The sequence below is a fragment of the Homo sapiens genome, chromosome 2 (assembly GCF_000001405.40).
Source record: "Homo sapiens chromosome 2, GRCh38.p14 Primary Assembly".
Lineage (NCBI taxonomy): Eukaryota > Metazoa > Chordata > Mammalia > Primates > Hominidae > Homo > Homo sapiens.
This window is the reverse complement of record NC_000002.12, coordinates 222,601,810-222,617,013: the sequence shown is the minus strand read 5'-3', so window position 1 is coordinate 222,617,013 and position 15,204 is coordinate 222,601,810. Positions and strand designations below refer to the sequence as shown.

The 15,204-nt window shown below is 36.7% G+C and overlaps 1 protein-coding gene across 4 annotated transcripts in view; it reads left to right on the top strand.

The window, feature by feature from the left end:
* The window catches only part of FARSB (phenylalanyl-tRNA synthetase subunit beta), an 89,194-nt gene that overhangs the window by 39,079 nt on the left and 34,911 nt on the right, over positions 1 to 15,204 (top strand). For all 4 annotated transcript variants that reach the window (NR_130154.2, NM_005687.5, XM_011510466.3 and 1 more), the window contains one exon: positions 3,086 to 3,203. Coding sequence is in view for 3 of the 4 variants with exons in the window: in NM_005687.5 (NP_005678.3) it covers positions 3,086 to 3,203 (118 nt within the window). In the remaining variant the exon portion in view is untranslated. The remainder of the gene's footprint in view (positions 1 to 3,085; positions 3,204 to 15,204) is intronic.

The window sequence follows — 15,204 nt, the reverse complement described above, 5'->3', positions numbered from 1 at the left end:
TCAAAAAAAAAAAAAAAAAAAAAAAAAAGAATCAATCTTTCTGCATAAAGTACCTTAAAGATCAAAGAGAGTGCCTGTCTTTTGACCTAACAGATTCTATATTTTACCTTGCTTTACCAACAGGTGAGTCCTACCATCATTAATTTGGCTAAGAGGTTTATATTTATGGTTAAGTTAAATGTAAAGTTCTTCATGGGCCTATAACTCAGTTTCTTGTCTAAATCCTTTCCTTCTCCTGCATAATTCTTAACTTTGGGCTCTTTTTTGATAGTAAATATGTTGGAGAATGGGCAAGATAAAAATGTAACTTGGCTAAAATATGTAAAATTTTATTATAGTGACAATAAACAAACTTACAGAATATTACCACACCCCTTCCAAATTAACAATAATATTCCTTAATCACCTCACATATCCAGTCATTGTTTTAGTTTTCCCAATTGTCATTTTTTTTTTTTTTTTTTTTTTGAGATGGAGTCTCACTCTGTTGCCAGGCTGGAGTGCAGTGGTGCAATCTTGGCTCACTGCAACTTCCGCCTTCTGGGTTCAAGCAATTCTCCTGCCTCAGCCTCCCGAGTAGCTGGGACTACAGGCACGCGCTGCCGCGCCCAGCTAATTTTTGTATTTTTAGTAGAGACGGGGTTTCACCGTGTTGGCCAGGATGGTCTCAATCTCCTGACCTCGTGATCCGCCCATCTTGGCCTCCCATCAATTTTTTTTTTTAACAGTTTGAGTTCGGATTCAAATGTGGTTCATACATTGACATTGATTTATATGCTTTTCATGTCTCTGTTAATCTACAACTTGCACCTCTCATCCTTCCGTCTTTCTTTTCCTTTCAGTTTGTTGAAGAAACTGAGTCATTTGTCCTATAGAATTCTTACATTTAGGATTTTGCTGAATATGTTCCAATGGCCCCCTAAATTTCCAGTAAATTGGTAGTTGGATATAGAAGCTTGATCAGATTCAGGTTTAATTTTTTGTATTTCTGTAGGTTTTTAAATATGCAAATAAGGCATATCTATAAAATACACTGATAAAATTAAGAAAAGTTTTCTATAACAGTAGTTTGTTTATTATATTTCAATAAGTTAAATTTCCTTTTAACTTTTAACATTGTAGTTTTGTTTTTGTGAATGGTTTGGGCACTTGCCCTCCAATGGGGAAAATGAATAATATTTAAGAAGCACCAAGTTGAAGGCGAGTAGCAGCTTGTTGGTATAGTGAGTGTGATGGGAAAGACGTTCTCTTTTTCATTCAAAACACAATCTAACAATTCCATTTAGGGTCTTATGGTTACTTGTGCAGGATCTAAGAGTGTCTGTGTTTTAGCTTGGGTGTTCAGGGCAAACCTCTGTAGGAGAGAACATTTGAGCAGACACTTGAAGGAAGGAAGGAAGCCACATGTGAACCTAGAGGAAGAATGTAGGAGCAGAGTAAGCATGGAGGCCCCAGGATGGAAATCTTGCTGACCAGTGTGGCCTCCAGTGTGGCTGGAGTGCAGTAAGCCTGCGGAAGCAGCAGGGGTTGAGGGTAGAGAGGGAGTCAGGGCACATCACATAGGGCCCCAGGTAGGCCATGGATTTTATTCAAAATTTAATGGAAACCTCTTGCAGATTTTTGACCAGGGGAGTTGCATGGTCTGATTTCCATCTTAAAGGACCACTCCGTATGGAGAATAGGCCACAGGTTGGCAGGAATGGAAGCACAGAAGCCAGCTTAAGAATGTTATGCAGTAGTCTGGGGAAAAGATAATAGTGCTTGTGGTCTGAATGCAGAGCCCAGACTCTCACAATAATGTTACACCACTGCTTATAAAACTCTTCTGGTAACATGTGTTGGAAGCTAATATATTCCGTATAGCTTACAGGGAGAAATATGTTTTACAGACAAAGCAGGAAATTTTTGCTTTTTTTTAATGTACCAGGGTATGCATTTCTTAGGAATAGGAAGAATGAAATGACTGTACATGCTTTCTTTCACATTTGCTTTAGTTAATAAAAAGTTTAGAACTGTAGTTACAGCCTACCCATAGCAGCTGTATATATTTTTTAGCACCTACATATTTGTATTCTGTTTTCCTCATTGTGATATTTTAATTGCATTTACATTTTTCCTGGTCCTAATTCTGATTAATTCATATTTAATTTATTTATGGTTTTATTTATTTATTTGTTTAGAGACAGGTTCTCTGTTGCCTAGGCTGGAGAGCAGTGGTATGATTATAGCTTATTGTAACCTTGAACTCCTGGGCTCAGGCAATTCTCCACCTCAGCCTCCCGAGTAGCTGAAACTAAAGGCATGTATCCATACCTAGCTAATTTTTAAATCTGTGGAGGTGGTGTTTTGCTATGTTGCCCGTGCTGGTCTTGAACTACTAGCCTCAAGTGTTCCTCCTACCTCGGCTTCCCAAAGCTTTGGGATTACAGGCATGAGCCACTGTGCCTGACCTATATTTAATCTATTTAAACATTTGTATTTCTTGTAGTCTATTTCAATTACTTTGTGAAATGAGGCAGGATATGAAAACTTGCAAACATGCATTTGAAATCTTGAAAGCAAACTTTAGTTTTTAAAATGATAATCAATTAGCTGGGTGCAGTGGTGTGTACCTGTAGTTCCAGCTACTTGGGAGGCTGAGGCAGGAGATCACTAGAGCCATTTGAGGCATTTGAGGCTGCAGTGAGCTATGATTGTGCCCATTGCACTCCATCCTGTGCAAAACAGTGAGACTGTGTCTCTAAAAAAAGAAAAAATAAAATAATGAATGATAATGAATAAAATAACCAAGGCTTAGATATAAGCAAACATATTTAGGTTGTATTTGTTTCTCGTTTATTTTTTAATCAAATTTATGATTTTTCATTTTGTAAATTTGGAAGCCAGAATGTTTTCAGTTCTTTTCAGTTCAATTTCAGTGTCCTGGAATTGAAAATTGAAAGTGACTTGGATATTTTAGGGCAATGCATTTTCCAGAAGTGTCTTCCTATGAAGCCATAGTCTTTCTGCCATGGTCTTTGTCTTTAACCAAGTGTCTTTGTTTGGGTCCTATTTGGTCAGTGCAATTTCATGTCTTTTCCTGTAGGTGGCACGCACTACCCTTCTTCCTGGCCTCCTGAAGACCATAGCAGCAAATCGTAAGATGCCCCTTCCACTGAAACTGTTTGAAATCTCTGACATTGTAATAAAAGATTCTAATACAGGTAAGAATAAGTCACCTTTGATTTGATTTGTGTATTTAAAACATTTTTTTCATTATGAAAACCTTAACTATACATAAAAGCAGAAAAAATAGTATAATTAGCCCCTATGTACCCAGCACCCACCTTCAACAGTTACCAACACATGGACAGGCTTCTTTCATCTATACCACTATCAACTTCCCATATTATTTTAATATGAATCATAGACATTGTATCATTTCATCAGCAAACACTTTAGTATGTATTTATTTATTTATTTTTTTCCTGGAGGCAGAGTTTCACTCTTCACCCAGGCTGGAGTGCAGTGGCCTGATATCAGCTCACTGCAACCTCTGCCTCCTGGGTTCAAGTGATACTTGTGCCTCAGCCTCCTAAGCAGCAGGGATTAAAGGCATGTGCCACCACACCCGGCTAATTTTTGTGTTTTTAGTAGAGACGGTGTTTCACCATGTTGGCCAGGCTGGACTCGAACTTCTGACCACCCGCCTCAGCCTCCCAAAGTGCTGGGATTACAGGCATGAGCCACTGGCGCCCAACTACTTTAGTATGTATTTCTAAAAGATAAGCACTACCACTTCAGTTTTGTTTTATAAATTTAATTTTCATGATTAATTTATTTGAATCAGAATTTAAGGTCCAGCTATTTGGTTGCTATGTCTCTCATTTCTTTTAATGGAAAGCATTTTTCAACAAAGAATTTAATAATTAAGAAGATTACTGTTAAAACCTCAACTTGACAAGCACTGTGGAACATTTTCTTATATGGCGTGATTTATATGCATATTGTCTTAACATACTTGATATCATGTCATTCTAGTTTAGCAGTGACTGTCCACCATTACCATTGTACCAGTGACTGCGAATGTGTTTTACCAGTTTTTGTTACTTTTGAGTAAGCCCTGGGCTTGTTAGTACAGTGGGTTGCTTGGTCCAACACTTGGAATGTGGTGGTTGGTGGTTATTTAATGAGTATATATTTAGTAAGTACCTCCACTTGATTGCCAAGGAATTCAGTCTTGTTCAAACTCCACATCTCCAGTCTCTGATACAAATCTGACTGTTCGAAGCTGTATGTGCATTGGTCCCTTGGTGAGCAATACCTTAAGTGACTCAATTGCTGTGTTTCCTTGGTTTCTGGATTTAACAGATCAATTACTAGCAGTGTTTATGCAGCGATGCTTACTCTAGACTCTGCAGAATTCAGAGTGTGTTCTTTTGAATCAGTTGACAAAAGCAGAGACCTTATTCTCAATTTCTCCAGAAGAGGATAAACATATCATTCTTAACTTTCCAAAGTAGTCACAACTATTGACTGTAAATCGACCTATCTTAGGAATTATAGAGGTATGACCAGAGCTACTACTGTCCATGGCAAACTCTCCAGCCAAGGCTGGATTCCATCTGTTCCCCAATATTGTCCCATTTAATGGATTGGCAAATTAAGACAGAAAGTGGTAATTTGCCCAGGGCTGCATAAAATATTGAACTTGGAGCTGGAGCCATAGTACAGATCTCAGTCACACATCCTTAGAGAATGAAAGTTCGTGTTTAATATCACTATGTAGAATTTTCTTTAGGTGGTAAATTTACTATAATAGAAATCAGAAAACATGTTTAGTGCCAGCTGCAAATAGTTTTGAGTGTTCTTGTGCCTTAAATCCTCCACTGGTAGAGATAACTGAGAATTTGATATAATTCCATTGTCAAATTTTTCTGTTAGCCTTGAGTTGTTTCCATTCATCTTATTTCTTTGGGTTTTGTATTGTTTTGATCCTTGATGATCTGTTCATGTTTATAAATATATGGTTACATTTATAAATCAGGGTTAGGTTAATTACACTAGGTTTCCTCAAAAGTTTTGTAATACTGTTTCAGCAGTAGGCCTCTTCCCTAATTGCTAGGGCTCGCTGAGGGCCATGCACGGTTCTGTGGGGCTGGGCATGCTCACAACCAGGCAGAGGGTGCGGGTGAGGAAGCTGGGGCTGTTGTAGGGATGGGGCACTTGGCAGTATTTTAGTCCTGGGTAGTGGTGCCTTTGCTATTTTTGTTTTAATTTGTGTTTGTTGGAAAGGCCCAGGTGTAGACTGTACTCTGCTTCTCTTTCTGGCCCGAAGGCTTATGCTTAGGATGACTTCCTATTGAGAGAGCTGTTCTTAAGTGCTAGTGCTATAGGCCATCTTCTAACAAATCACCTAGGTGGCCAGGTGTGTTGGTTCATGCCTGTAATCCCAGCACTTTGGGAGGCCAAGGTGGGAGAACCTTTTGAGCCCAGAAGGTTGAGTCTACAGTAAGCTATGTTTACACTAACTACACTCCAGCCTGGGCAACAGAGTAAGACCCTGTCTCCCCCACGCGCCCCCCCGCCCCCCCAAAAAGAAGAAAGAAAGGAAAGAAAGAAAGAACAAATTACTTAGGTGATTATCCCAGAAACTCAGTTCATATATCTTTTAGATTTGCGTTTCTGCAGTACTTTGTTTCGTTGGGAAGGATAGTTCTATTTCTGTAGGAAACCTCTTCTATATCTGTCTTTTGTTATAATTACACCACTCTATTTTCTCCATTGATTCATTTCTGGTATTACTTTTGCCTGTTGTCTTGTACCATTCTTCTTTATTCTTTTTTTAAAAAGTTTTCCATCATCAATGGGATTTGAGAAATGAAGGGAGGTAAATGTGCTTGGTAAGTCTACCATCTTGAAAACATAGGTTTGCTTTAGTTTATTTGGAGTATGTTTTCTGTTTAGGTAGGCCTGGATTTTGTTTCATAACAAAATGAGCTTCTCTGATGGAGTATTCTAAAAATGTACATATGGATTCCCTACTTGTCATCTGCTGTACATAGAGGACAACAGGGGAGGCAGCAAAGCACCACAGTTCCATAGAGAGACTCTGCAGCCAGAGTGCTTGGCTTTGAGTCATGGTTCTGCCTTTACCAGCTGCTTAAATTCGGACAATTTGTTTATTCTCTCTGTGGCTCAGCTTTCTCATCTGTACAGTGGGAATAATGATAGCACTTATTTCATTGATATGTTATAAGGATTAAATGAAATTGCAGTTTGAAAAGTTCTAGCCACGTAATAAGAACTGTTGGTGTTTGGTCTTGTTGTTAAGATATTTACAATTCCTAAGCTCAGATAATTTAGCATCCTGGTTTATGGGAATTTTTTACTAGAATGACTTGAAAGCCTTAGCTGTCCATTAAAGGGCTAATGTCACCTTGCTGAGGCACTTGGGGCCAATTCTTATCCTAACTTTTGACTTAATTGGTTCTGTTATGCTTTTTTTTTAATTTTTATTTTCTATTTTTTCTATTTTTTATTTTTAGAATAAGAAAACTAAAACAGACGAATGTGGGAATTTATTTATGGAAACAGGAATGTTGTTTTTTGAGTAATTCGTCACCTACTTTTTTTGAGTGAATTAACATGTTTTTACTGTTTCTCAAACCAGTAACCATTTTTCTCTGTTGGATTCACATTAGCAATTTCCTTCTAAATAATGAAACTTTTTTGAAGAAAAAAGTCTAAACCATAGTTTTCCAGTTGATGTGAAAATTCCTCAGATTTTCATTGGTGGGAGCAGTACCTAAACTACTGGTTCAAAAGAGTAGAGATAGAGTGGCAAGAATGAGCAAGGCAGTCTCATTCAGCACAGCACATTGGTGGAAAAGATTTTTAAGTTCTTTTTCATTGCTAGAGACTGCTTTAGAATATCAGAGAAAGAGTTGCCAGTCTTAAGGGAGACAAACCTGTGAGCAGATTCTTACAGATAATGCTGAGAGAATGTACCAGTTGCCCCTTGGTAGCTCAGAAGGGAGCAACAGTTGCCATTAACTTGTTTTCTAATATTAAGGAAAAACCCAACCTTCCCAGCCTTGTATCAATTTGGGGTGGGCAAGCATGTCTTCCAAAATGAAAATAGAATCCATACTGGATTTCGATATGCCTCCCACACATTTTATGTGACCAGTATTCCTGTAAGAGTAGATGAAAGACTCCTAGCCCTATTTTCATGCTTGACCTCGTTGGACAGTTTCTTATTCTAATGTAGACTTTTTTGACTGACCATCCGTGTTGTATGAGGCCGTCAGGCTGCCAGTTTAGAGACTGCATCAGGCACACTTTTTGAGCATTAAGACTTCCACTCTAAATCAGACACATTCAGGTTCTTTGAGGCTGAGCCAACCACTGCATTTATTGAGACTCTAGATATGAAGTTGCTGCAACATTTTAAAAAATTAGTCATGACTCAAGGGACTCAGCTGATTTATGCATTTTGTTGGGCAGAGTGGCATATGCTTTTGGAATGAGAAGTTGAATGCAGACTCTGCTGTGGGGTAAATTTTTCAGTTGATAACAAGGAAGTCAGCAGACGCAGCATTGAAGCTGCCATATCAGGCTGCTGTGTGAGCTATTGGTTGGTGATTGGTTTAAATCCTTAACATTTTAATTTTTTCTGTTAAATGTCAGGAACAACTAAACTATAAACAAAATAGTTTAAAAGAAAAATGACTTCTGGGGAACAAAGGACCTAATTGTGAATTCTTAATCCTTATGCCCAGAAAAGCAACTGTATTTTGCAAAATCCAATATTCAGGCTTTTTCTTAAACACAGATTGACTTCTGTGATTGCAGTTTATTCCTTTATGGTCACTGAAGCTGCCAATGTATATAGATAGAATCTCTCTGAAATGGCAAGAGAAAACATATCACTGGGTTGAGTGAGTTTAAGTGTAAAAGGAACAAGAGCCAAAGAAAGATTGGTTTGGCTTTGCAATGTAAGAGGGTGATTTAGATTTAGTAAGATACAATCCTCCAATTGTCAATTTGACATATATCTGTGGAGAACCCTGAAAATCAAATTGCCATGCATTTTGTTTATAACTACTACATTTACAAAATGTTGGATTTTAATAAACATAGATGGAATAGGATAGGTTAAAGCCTCTTGACCGTTCATAGGGCTCCAGTTAGTGTCACTTTCTTCATGAAGCAGGCTAAGCCTTCACTTTTTGCTCAGAGCATTATTAACTTTCTCTAAAGCATTGCTGTAGTCCTGGTGCAAGCTACATTTCCTCTACCCCTCAAATCACTGACAAAATAGTTTTTAAAATTTCACATTTTCCCTGAAACTTTTCTAAATGAGCGAATGATCTACTTCTTCTTACCTGCTTAGTTTGGATGTAGAAATACAGAATTTTTTTTTAAACTTTAGTCACAATATATGTTTAAGATTCTTGTTCCTTTCTCCTCCCTTGACCACCAAGGCCATCACAGAACAAACCTAATTCACTGTTCTTTTATGATTTGGTTTGTTCTTTCAATTTGCTATTGGTTTGTATCATATATGTATGTTGGTGTTTGTGTATCTGTCTTATAAGTTACGAAAATATAGCGGTCAGATCTTTAAAGGTTTTTGTGTAACTCTATGCTTAAAAATAACTCAATAAAAGCATTTTCATTGTGGGCTTGTGAAATACTTCAGTTCTGAGAAATTATCCAGTAATTCTGGAGCCCTCAAATAATGGAGGATTATCTAGCGTCCACATGTGGAATGTGGTTTTCCAAAGAGAGCTTATGTCATCAGTCTGGATTAATTTAATTTCACCATTTCATATTTTTGGCATGTAGAATTTCCAATTATTAATTCAAAAAATATGGGTGTAAGGAGCATCGACATTAACAATTTTTGAAGTAACACATTTGCATACATGATGGCATCTTAACTGTGTAAATACATCATTTTTAATATAGAAAGTTATTTTAGTACATTTGGTTCCACATAGTTAAGATCTGCTAACGTGAGTATAATGTGTCCTGTCATGCATTGAATATTGTGTTTTTTTTTTAATAGGTAAAAAATCCATTCCAGGTTTACATTAACTAAATAAAAGCCAACCCACAAGGACGTACTTTTTCCTTCATGCGTTGAGAAGGTCATAGATTTTTCCTCATATTTGTTTCTTGGCTTTTCAGCACTATTTTAAAAAGGAAGTTCTGTACTTTGGTGCTATAATATAGGAGGGCATTTTAAGGAAAATTGTTCTTAAGCTTTATTTCTTTTTAAAAAAATTGAAAATATATTTGTGATGTTTTAAGACCTTTCATGAATATGTATTTTTAATTTAAAAGCAATTCTAATCTTTTCTTATTTTTTTTTTTTTAATATCCAACTTCTCCTTAGTCCTACTCTTAGAATTAGTTGCCGGCCCTTTTCTGTGCTCATACAAGCATATGTTATGCTTTTATTTACAGCCATAGATAATGGATAAATACTTTTTAATGTTTATACAAATGGGATATACTTTACCTGTCTTGTTCTGCACCTTGTTTCTCCTCTGAGCACATTCTATCAACTTCATTTCTTTTTAATGGCTGGATAATCTTCCATCATATCAATGTACTATAATTTATTTGCTTAGATTGTTATGAATGTTTAGATTTTTACCAAACTTTTGCTAAACTATGTCTGTTGCAAGAAATGTCCTTGTACCTTTATACAAATAGGTATTTTTAGAACTAGAATTGATCATTCCATAGGTGTAAACATCTAAATGTGTGATAATTTGTTGAATTCTCTTCATAAAAGGATTTTTTACAAACTTAGCATCCTACCAAGAGAAAGGTTCCTGTTTACCCACATTTGATATGATTTTTGGAGGCATTATGTCTTCACAAGATTCTTGTTGCATTTGTGAATCATTTAGGCCTGCACTGAAATTCTTCAGGAGATGTATAAAATTTGCAATATAAATTATAGTCTTGTGGGTTCCAATGTGAGATAAATTTGTTGGATGGAATAGAAGAATCAAGTTGCTTTGTTTTATTTTCTGAATTTGGCCAGACTATTAACCTCAAGCTCCACATCAGCCTCTGATTATTCTAGAAGCTGTTTTGGTCTCCCAATAGGTTTTCTCCTAGCATCTTTCTTTGGGCTTTTAGGTGAATGTGAGAATAGGAGTGGAAAGTTTCTCTGGAAGACTCTGCTCTTTTCCAGTCTGTGCCATGTATGATAACATAACCAAACACCTTAGTTTTTAATCATTGGTACTTTGGTGGAAGAGGATCTATACCAAACAGGAGCCTATTTGAAAAATTTGAGTTATATGTAATAGTCATTTACAAGGGGACATCATGTACCACTCCTTTTTCTTTTCTGTTAAAAAATCATTTGGCGTGTTCTTTCATCTTATAGAATTGTAGCTAGCCGCCCCTCCTTTGCGCAGCTTAGATCAGCCCTCTCCAGGCAGTACTTTGAAGTCTGTGAAATACATAGATAATTTAGGCTGACATACTTGCCAGGCCCATTTAAAAAGCAGAATTGTTTGATGGCATGACACAAGCAGTCTGTTAACTGAGTTATAAAAGAACTGAGGCATTTCCAACAAACCCCAGCTTTGGCATGACTTTTAAATAGTTCTTATTTTGTGGTGTGTAGTCAGTGGACTTTCTATGATGTAGTATGGTCTCTTAGTGCAACATACTAGGAAATGGGAATGTTACTATACCCAGCAATTTCAAGGAGGAATGGGTGGAAATAAGTTTGTGGTTATTTTCTCCTTTGATTCAGTTCAGCTACAGTAGAGGGAGTATCTTAGCAAGATATAAGGAAGTAAGTCCGGAGAGAGCAATAACCCTTGGGAAACGTAAAAAGCCAGCCAATCAGTGTGGAGTTGGGAGGGGGCGCCTAAATAATGAGGTTAATCTAATTATTACGGTGGGCTTAATACAAAGCCCTAGAAATCAGGCTTTTCTTAAAAATATTGCAAAATTAAATCTAAAAATATATAGTTCATTATTGTATGTGTATGCTATAAACATCCTGAAACCTTTCTTGAATGAAATAGAGTATAAATTTTTTAAGTTCTCTTTTGTTTTTGTTTTTGTTTTGAGGCAGGGTCTCACTCTGTCACTCAGGCATGATCATAGCTCACTGCAATCTCGAACTCCTGTGCTCAAGGGATCCTCCCACTTCAGCCTCCCAAGGAGCTGGGACTACAGGCATATGACACCACCAGTGTGCCTGGCTAATCTTTACATTTTTTTAAATAATTTATTGTAGAGATGGAGTCTCACTTTGTTGCCCAGGCTGGTCTGAAACTCCTGGGCTCAAGTGATCCTTCTGCCTCGGCCTTCTAAAGTACTGGGATTACAGGCCTGAGCCACTGTGCCTGGCCTACATTCTATATTTTTTAATTGTGATTTTATTATTCTCATCACAAGTTTACTTAATTTGTTTTTTAAAATTCTAAATTTTTAATCCAGATATTGCTGCTCATATCAGAAATATAAAAGCTTTACATAATTTAGAAATCAGGAAAAAAGTACTTGGAATTTGGCAAAGATTACCAAAATAAAGCTTCCAGTTTAGTTGCTAAGCTCTCTCTTAATGGTAGTATTACTGTTGGGCTCTTCTCTCACAGCAAAAATGGAACTCCAAAGTTGTTTCAATACGTGCCTGTGTGTTAAAGTGGAAGCATGTGACATCCACACCAACAAATGGGTACCACATGGCAAAAATACCCAGAAGCAAGTCAGTAGTATGAAAGGGATAATTTAGTTCTGTTTCGTTTCATTTTTTTCCCTTCAGAGGGAGAGAATGAAAGAAAGGGAGACACAGAGAGAGAGAGAGAGAGAGAGAGAGAGAGAGAAAGTTTGTATTCCTACAGTGGAATCAGGCTCTTCAATTTAGTTTATGAATATGGTTGGTTTAGTGAGGTTTTGTGCCTGTCTGATTTTAATGTCGACTTATAGCTTTTAGATACCAAATTTCTTTATCTTTAAAAATGGAAATGATGGAGGTGACAGTGGTATGCTCCTCGCTTATCTCAGCTGGCATAGATATGGCCCACTGTCTGCTCCTGGCCCTGTTTAATAGCTATTTGTGTGTGCTTATCTTCTTTTTAGGCTGTAGGCATTTACTCAGAAAATAATTATTGAGGTCTGGCATGGTGGCTCATGCCTGTAGCCTTAGCACTTTGGGAGGCTGAGGCAGGCAGATTGCCTGAGCCCAGGAGTTCGAGACCAGCCTGGGCAACATGGTAAAACCCTGTCTCTACTGAAAATACAAAAAAAAAAAAAAAAAAAAAATTCAGTGGGCATGGTGATGTGTGCTTGTACTCCCAGCTACTCAGGAGGCTGAGTTGGGAGGATCGCCTGAGCCTGGGAAGTCAAGGCTGCAATGAGCCAAGATCATGCTGCTGCACTCCAGCCTGGGCTACTGGAGTGAGACCCTGTCTCAAAGAAACAAAGAAGAATTACTGACGGTTTAGGTTGTAGATGTCTTGTACTGGCTTTGACCTCTATCATCAAAGAATATCTAGAATAGAGCGCCTTGAATATAGTGTGTACTGAGAAATGTTAAATGGCAAGGGCAGTTATTTCTTTGTATCTGTTCAGTCCGAAGTTCAACTCAGAATATACTTTCCATAAGTAACAATACTTTCATGGCTAGAAACTTCACTGACTCTTAAAAATAATTTATTTCAGTTGCTTAAATGGAATTCTTAAGTTTCACAAAAACTTTTGAAAATAAAACATCTGTTTATCATATAAAAAACATTTCAACAATGCATATCTTTTTTTTTTTTTTTTTAAGACGGAGTCTCGCTCTGTTGCTCAGGCTGGAGTGCAGTGGCGTGATCTCGGTTCACTGCAAACTCTGCCTCCCGGGTTCACGCCATTCTCCTGCCTCAGCCTCCTGAGTAGCTGGGACTACAGGTGCCTGCCACCATGCCTGGCCAATTTTTTTTGTATTTTTAGTAGAGACGGAGTTTCACCATGTTAGCCAGGATGGTCTCGATCTCCTGACCTTGTGATCCGCCTGCCTTGGCCTCCCAAAGTGCGGGGATTACAGGCGTGAGCCACCGCGCCTGGCCTCAACAATGCACATCTTTGACCATATTAAGTGGATATATAGCCATACATAAGCTTGCCCTTATATTGTTTGTTTTCATTTAAATGTTTTTGGGTGTACCCTATAGTGGAAAGAGCATGGGTTTTACAGTCAGTTAATTCTGGTCAAATCCTGGTTTTGACCAGATAATTAATCGTATTAGCAATATAATTAATTAATATATATAATTAATATTATATTTATTATTATTATCTAATATATATAATAATATATAATATAATATTAATTATATTAATAATAATATAATTAATCGTATTAGCTCCAGCCAATTAGTTTGACTTTGGCCAAGTTACTTAATCATTCTGAGCTTTGTTTCTCCATCTGTTTTATAGGAATAATAATACTTACTTTGCATGGTTGTCTTGAGAATTAAATAAGATTATAGATAAATTGACAGATAGTTAATACCTAGCATGTGCCAGATAATCGATACCACAGATTAACAGTTAATGTTAGTTTTCGTTTTCCTCCATTTATGTGCTTACTTTTATATTATTTTAATATTAGAGTACAGTGTCTTAAAATATTCATGTTTTACTTGGATATCTAGAAGATAAAAGGCATTCTGTATTTTATGTCAACTATTGCTAGTAGCTTTTACCTATGGGAGTAAATCCGTGGAAGAAGTTTTGCTCAATGTATGCTAACATGAAGCAGCTTTCTGTTTTCAGTTTATTCCCTCAGATATTAGTTTGTTTTTTCTCTTTTTAATTTGGAAAGCAAAATGAGGCCAGCATTCGTTCTATGTTTGTGTTAGAGCAGCGGTCTCCAGAATGTATTGAAGGGCCACAAGTGTTATAAAGTTAAATGATGACTGCTGACTTTCAGTCTTCCTCTCTATACTTAGGTACTTCTTTTTAAAAATGAGTTTTGTTACAGGTTTAGATGATTTTTTTTTTTACAAAATAAAAATTTAATAAATTAATTTTCAGAAATCAATAGCTTTTATAGATACAATATGTCTAATTTCAAGCTCTAAGGGAAGAAAAGACCCATGTTATAATAGCACAAAACATAAATGATAACATACTTAGGAATAAACACAAGAAATATTATTTGTAGAAAATGTTAAAGTGCTAATGAGAGATGAAATAAGACCCAAACAAATGGGAAGATACACCACGTTCTTTCATAGAAATACGCAGCATCATAAAGATATCACTTCTCTCATTAATGGGTGCAGCACACCAACATGGCACACGTATACATATGTAACAAACCTGCACGTTGTGCACATGTACCCTAAAACTTAAAGTATAATAATAATAAAATTAAAAAAAAAAGAAGTAGAATTACTGGATAATATGGTATAAAAAAAAAAAGAAAAGCCACCTTTATCATATTCTCAATTCTTGTAAGTATTTAGATCTGTTTCTGAACTGTTCTGTTCCACTCATCTGTATGACTACTCACAAATTATTGCCACTCTGTTTTAATTGCTGTAGATGTATAAATTTTAATATCTAGTAGTCTCCCTCTATCACTATTGTTTTTTTATATGAACTTTAGAATCCATTTATGTAATTTTTTTCAATTCTATTGGTATTTTTTTTAAGATCACATTAGATTTGTAAATTGAGAGAGGTTTAGATGATTATAATTATCACTACAAGATCAAAAAGTTCCATCACCCTAAAAACGCCTTATTTTAGTTGCATTTTTTTCCCATACCTAATCCCAGACAACTACTATCTGTTCTCTGTTCCCATAAGTTTGGCCTTTTCCAGAATGTCATATAAATGGACTCATACTGTCTGTAGCCTTTTGAGAGCCTTCTTTCTTTCAGCGTAATGCCTTTGAGAGTCATCCAGGTTGTCAAGTCTATCTACAGTTTGTTCCTTTTTGTTGCTGAGTGGTATCCTACTGTATGGATGTACCAGTTTGTTATCAGTGTTCATTTGGACTGTTGGAATTCTTTTTTAAAATATTGCCTTTAGCTGGGCACAGTGGCTCACACCTTAATTCCAGCACTTTGGGAGGCTGAGGCAGGAGGATCACTTGAGCCCAGAGTTTGAGACCAGCCTGGGCAACAGAGTGAGACTTTGTCTCTGCAAAAAATTAAAAAATTAGCTGAGTGTGGTGGCGTG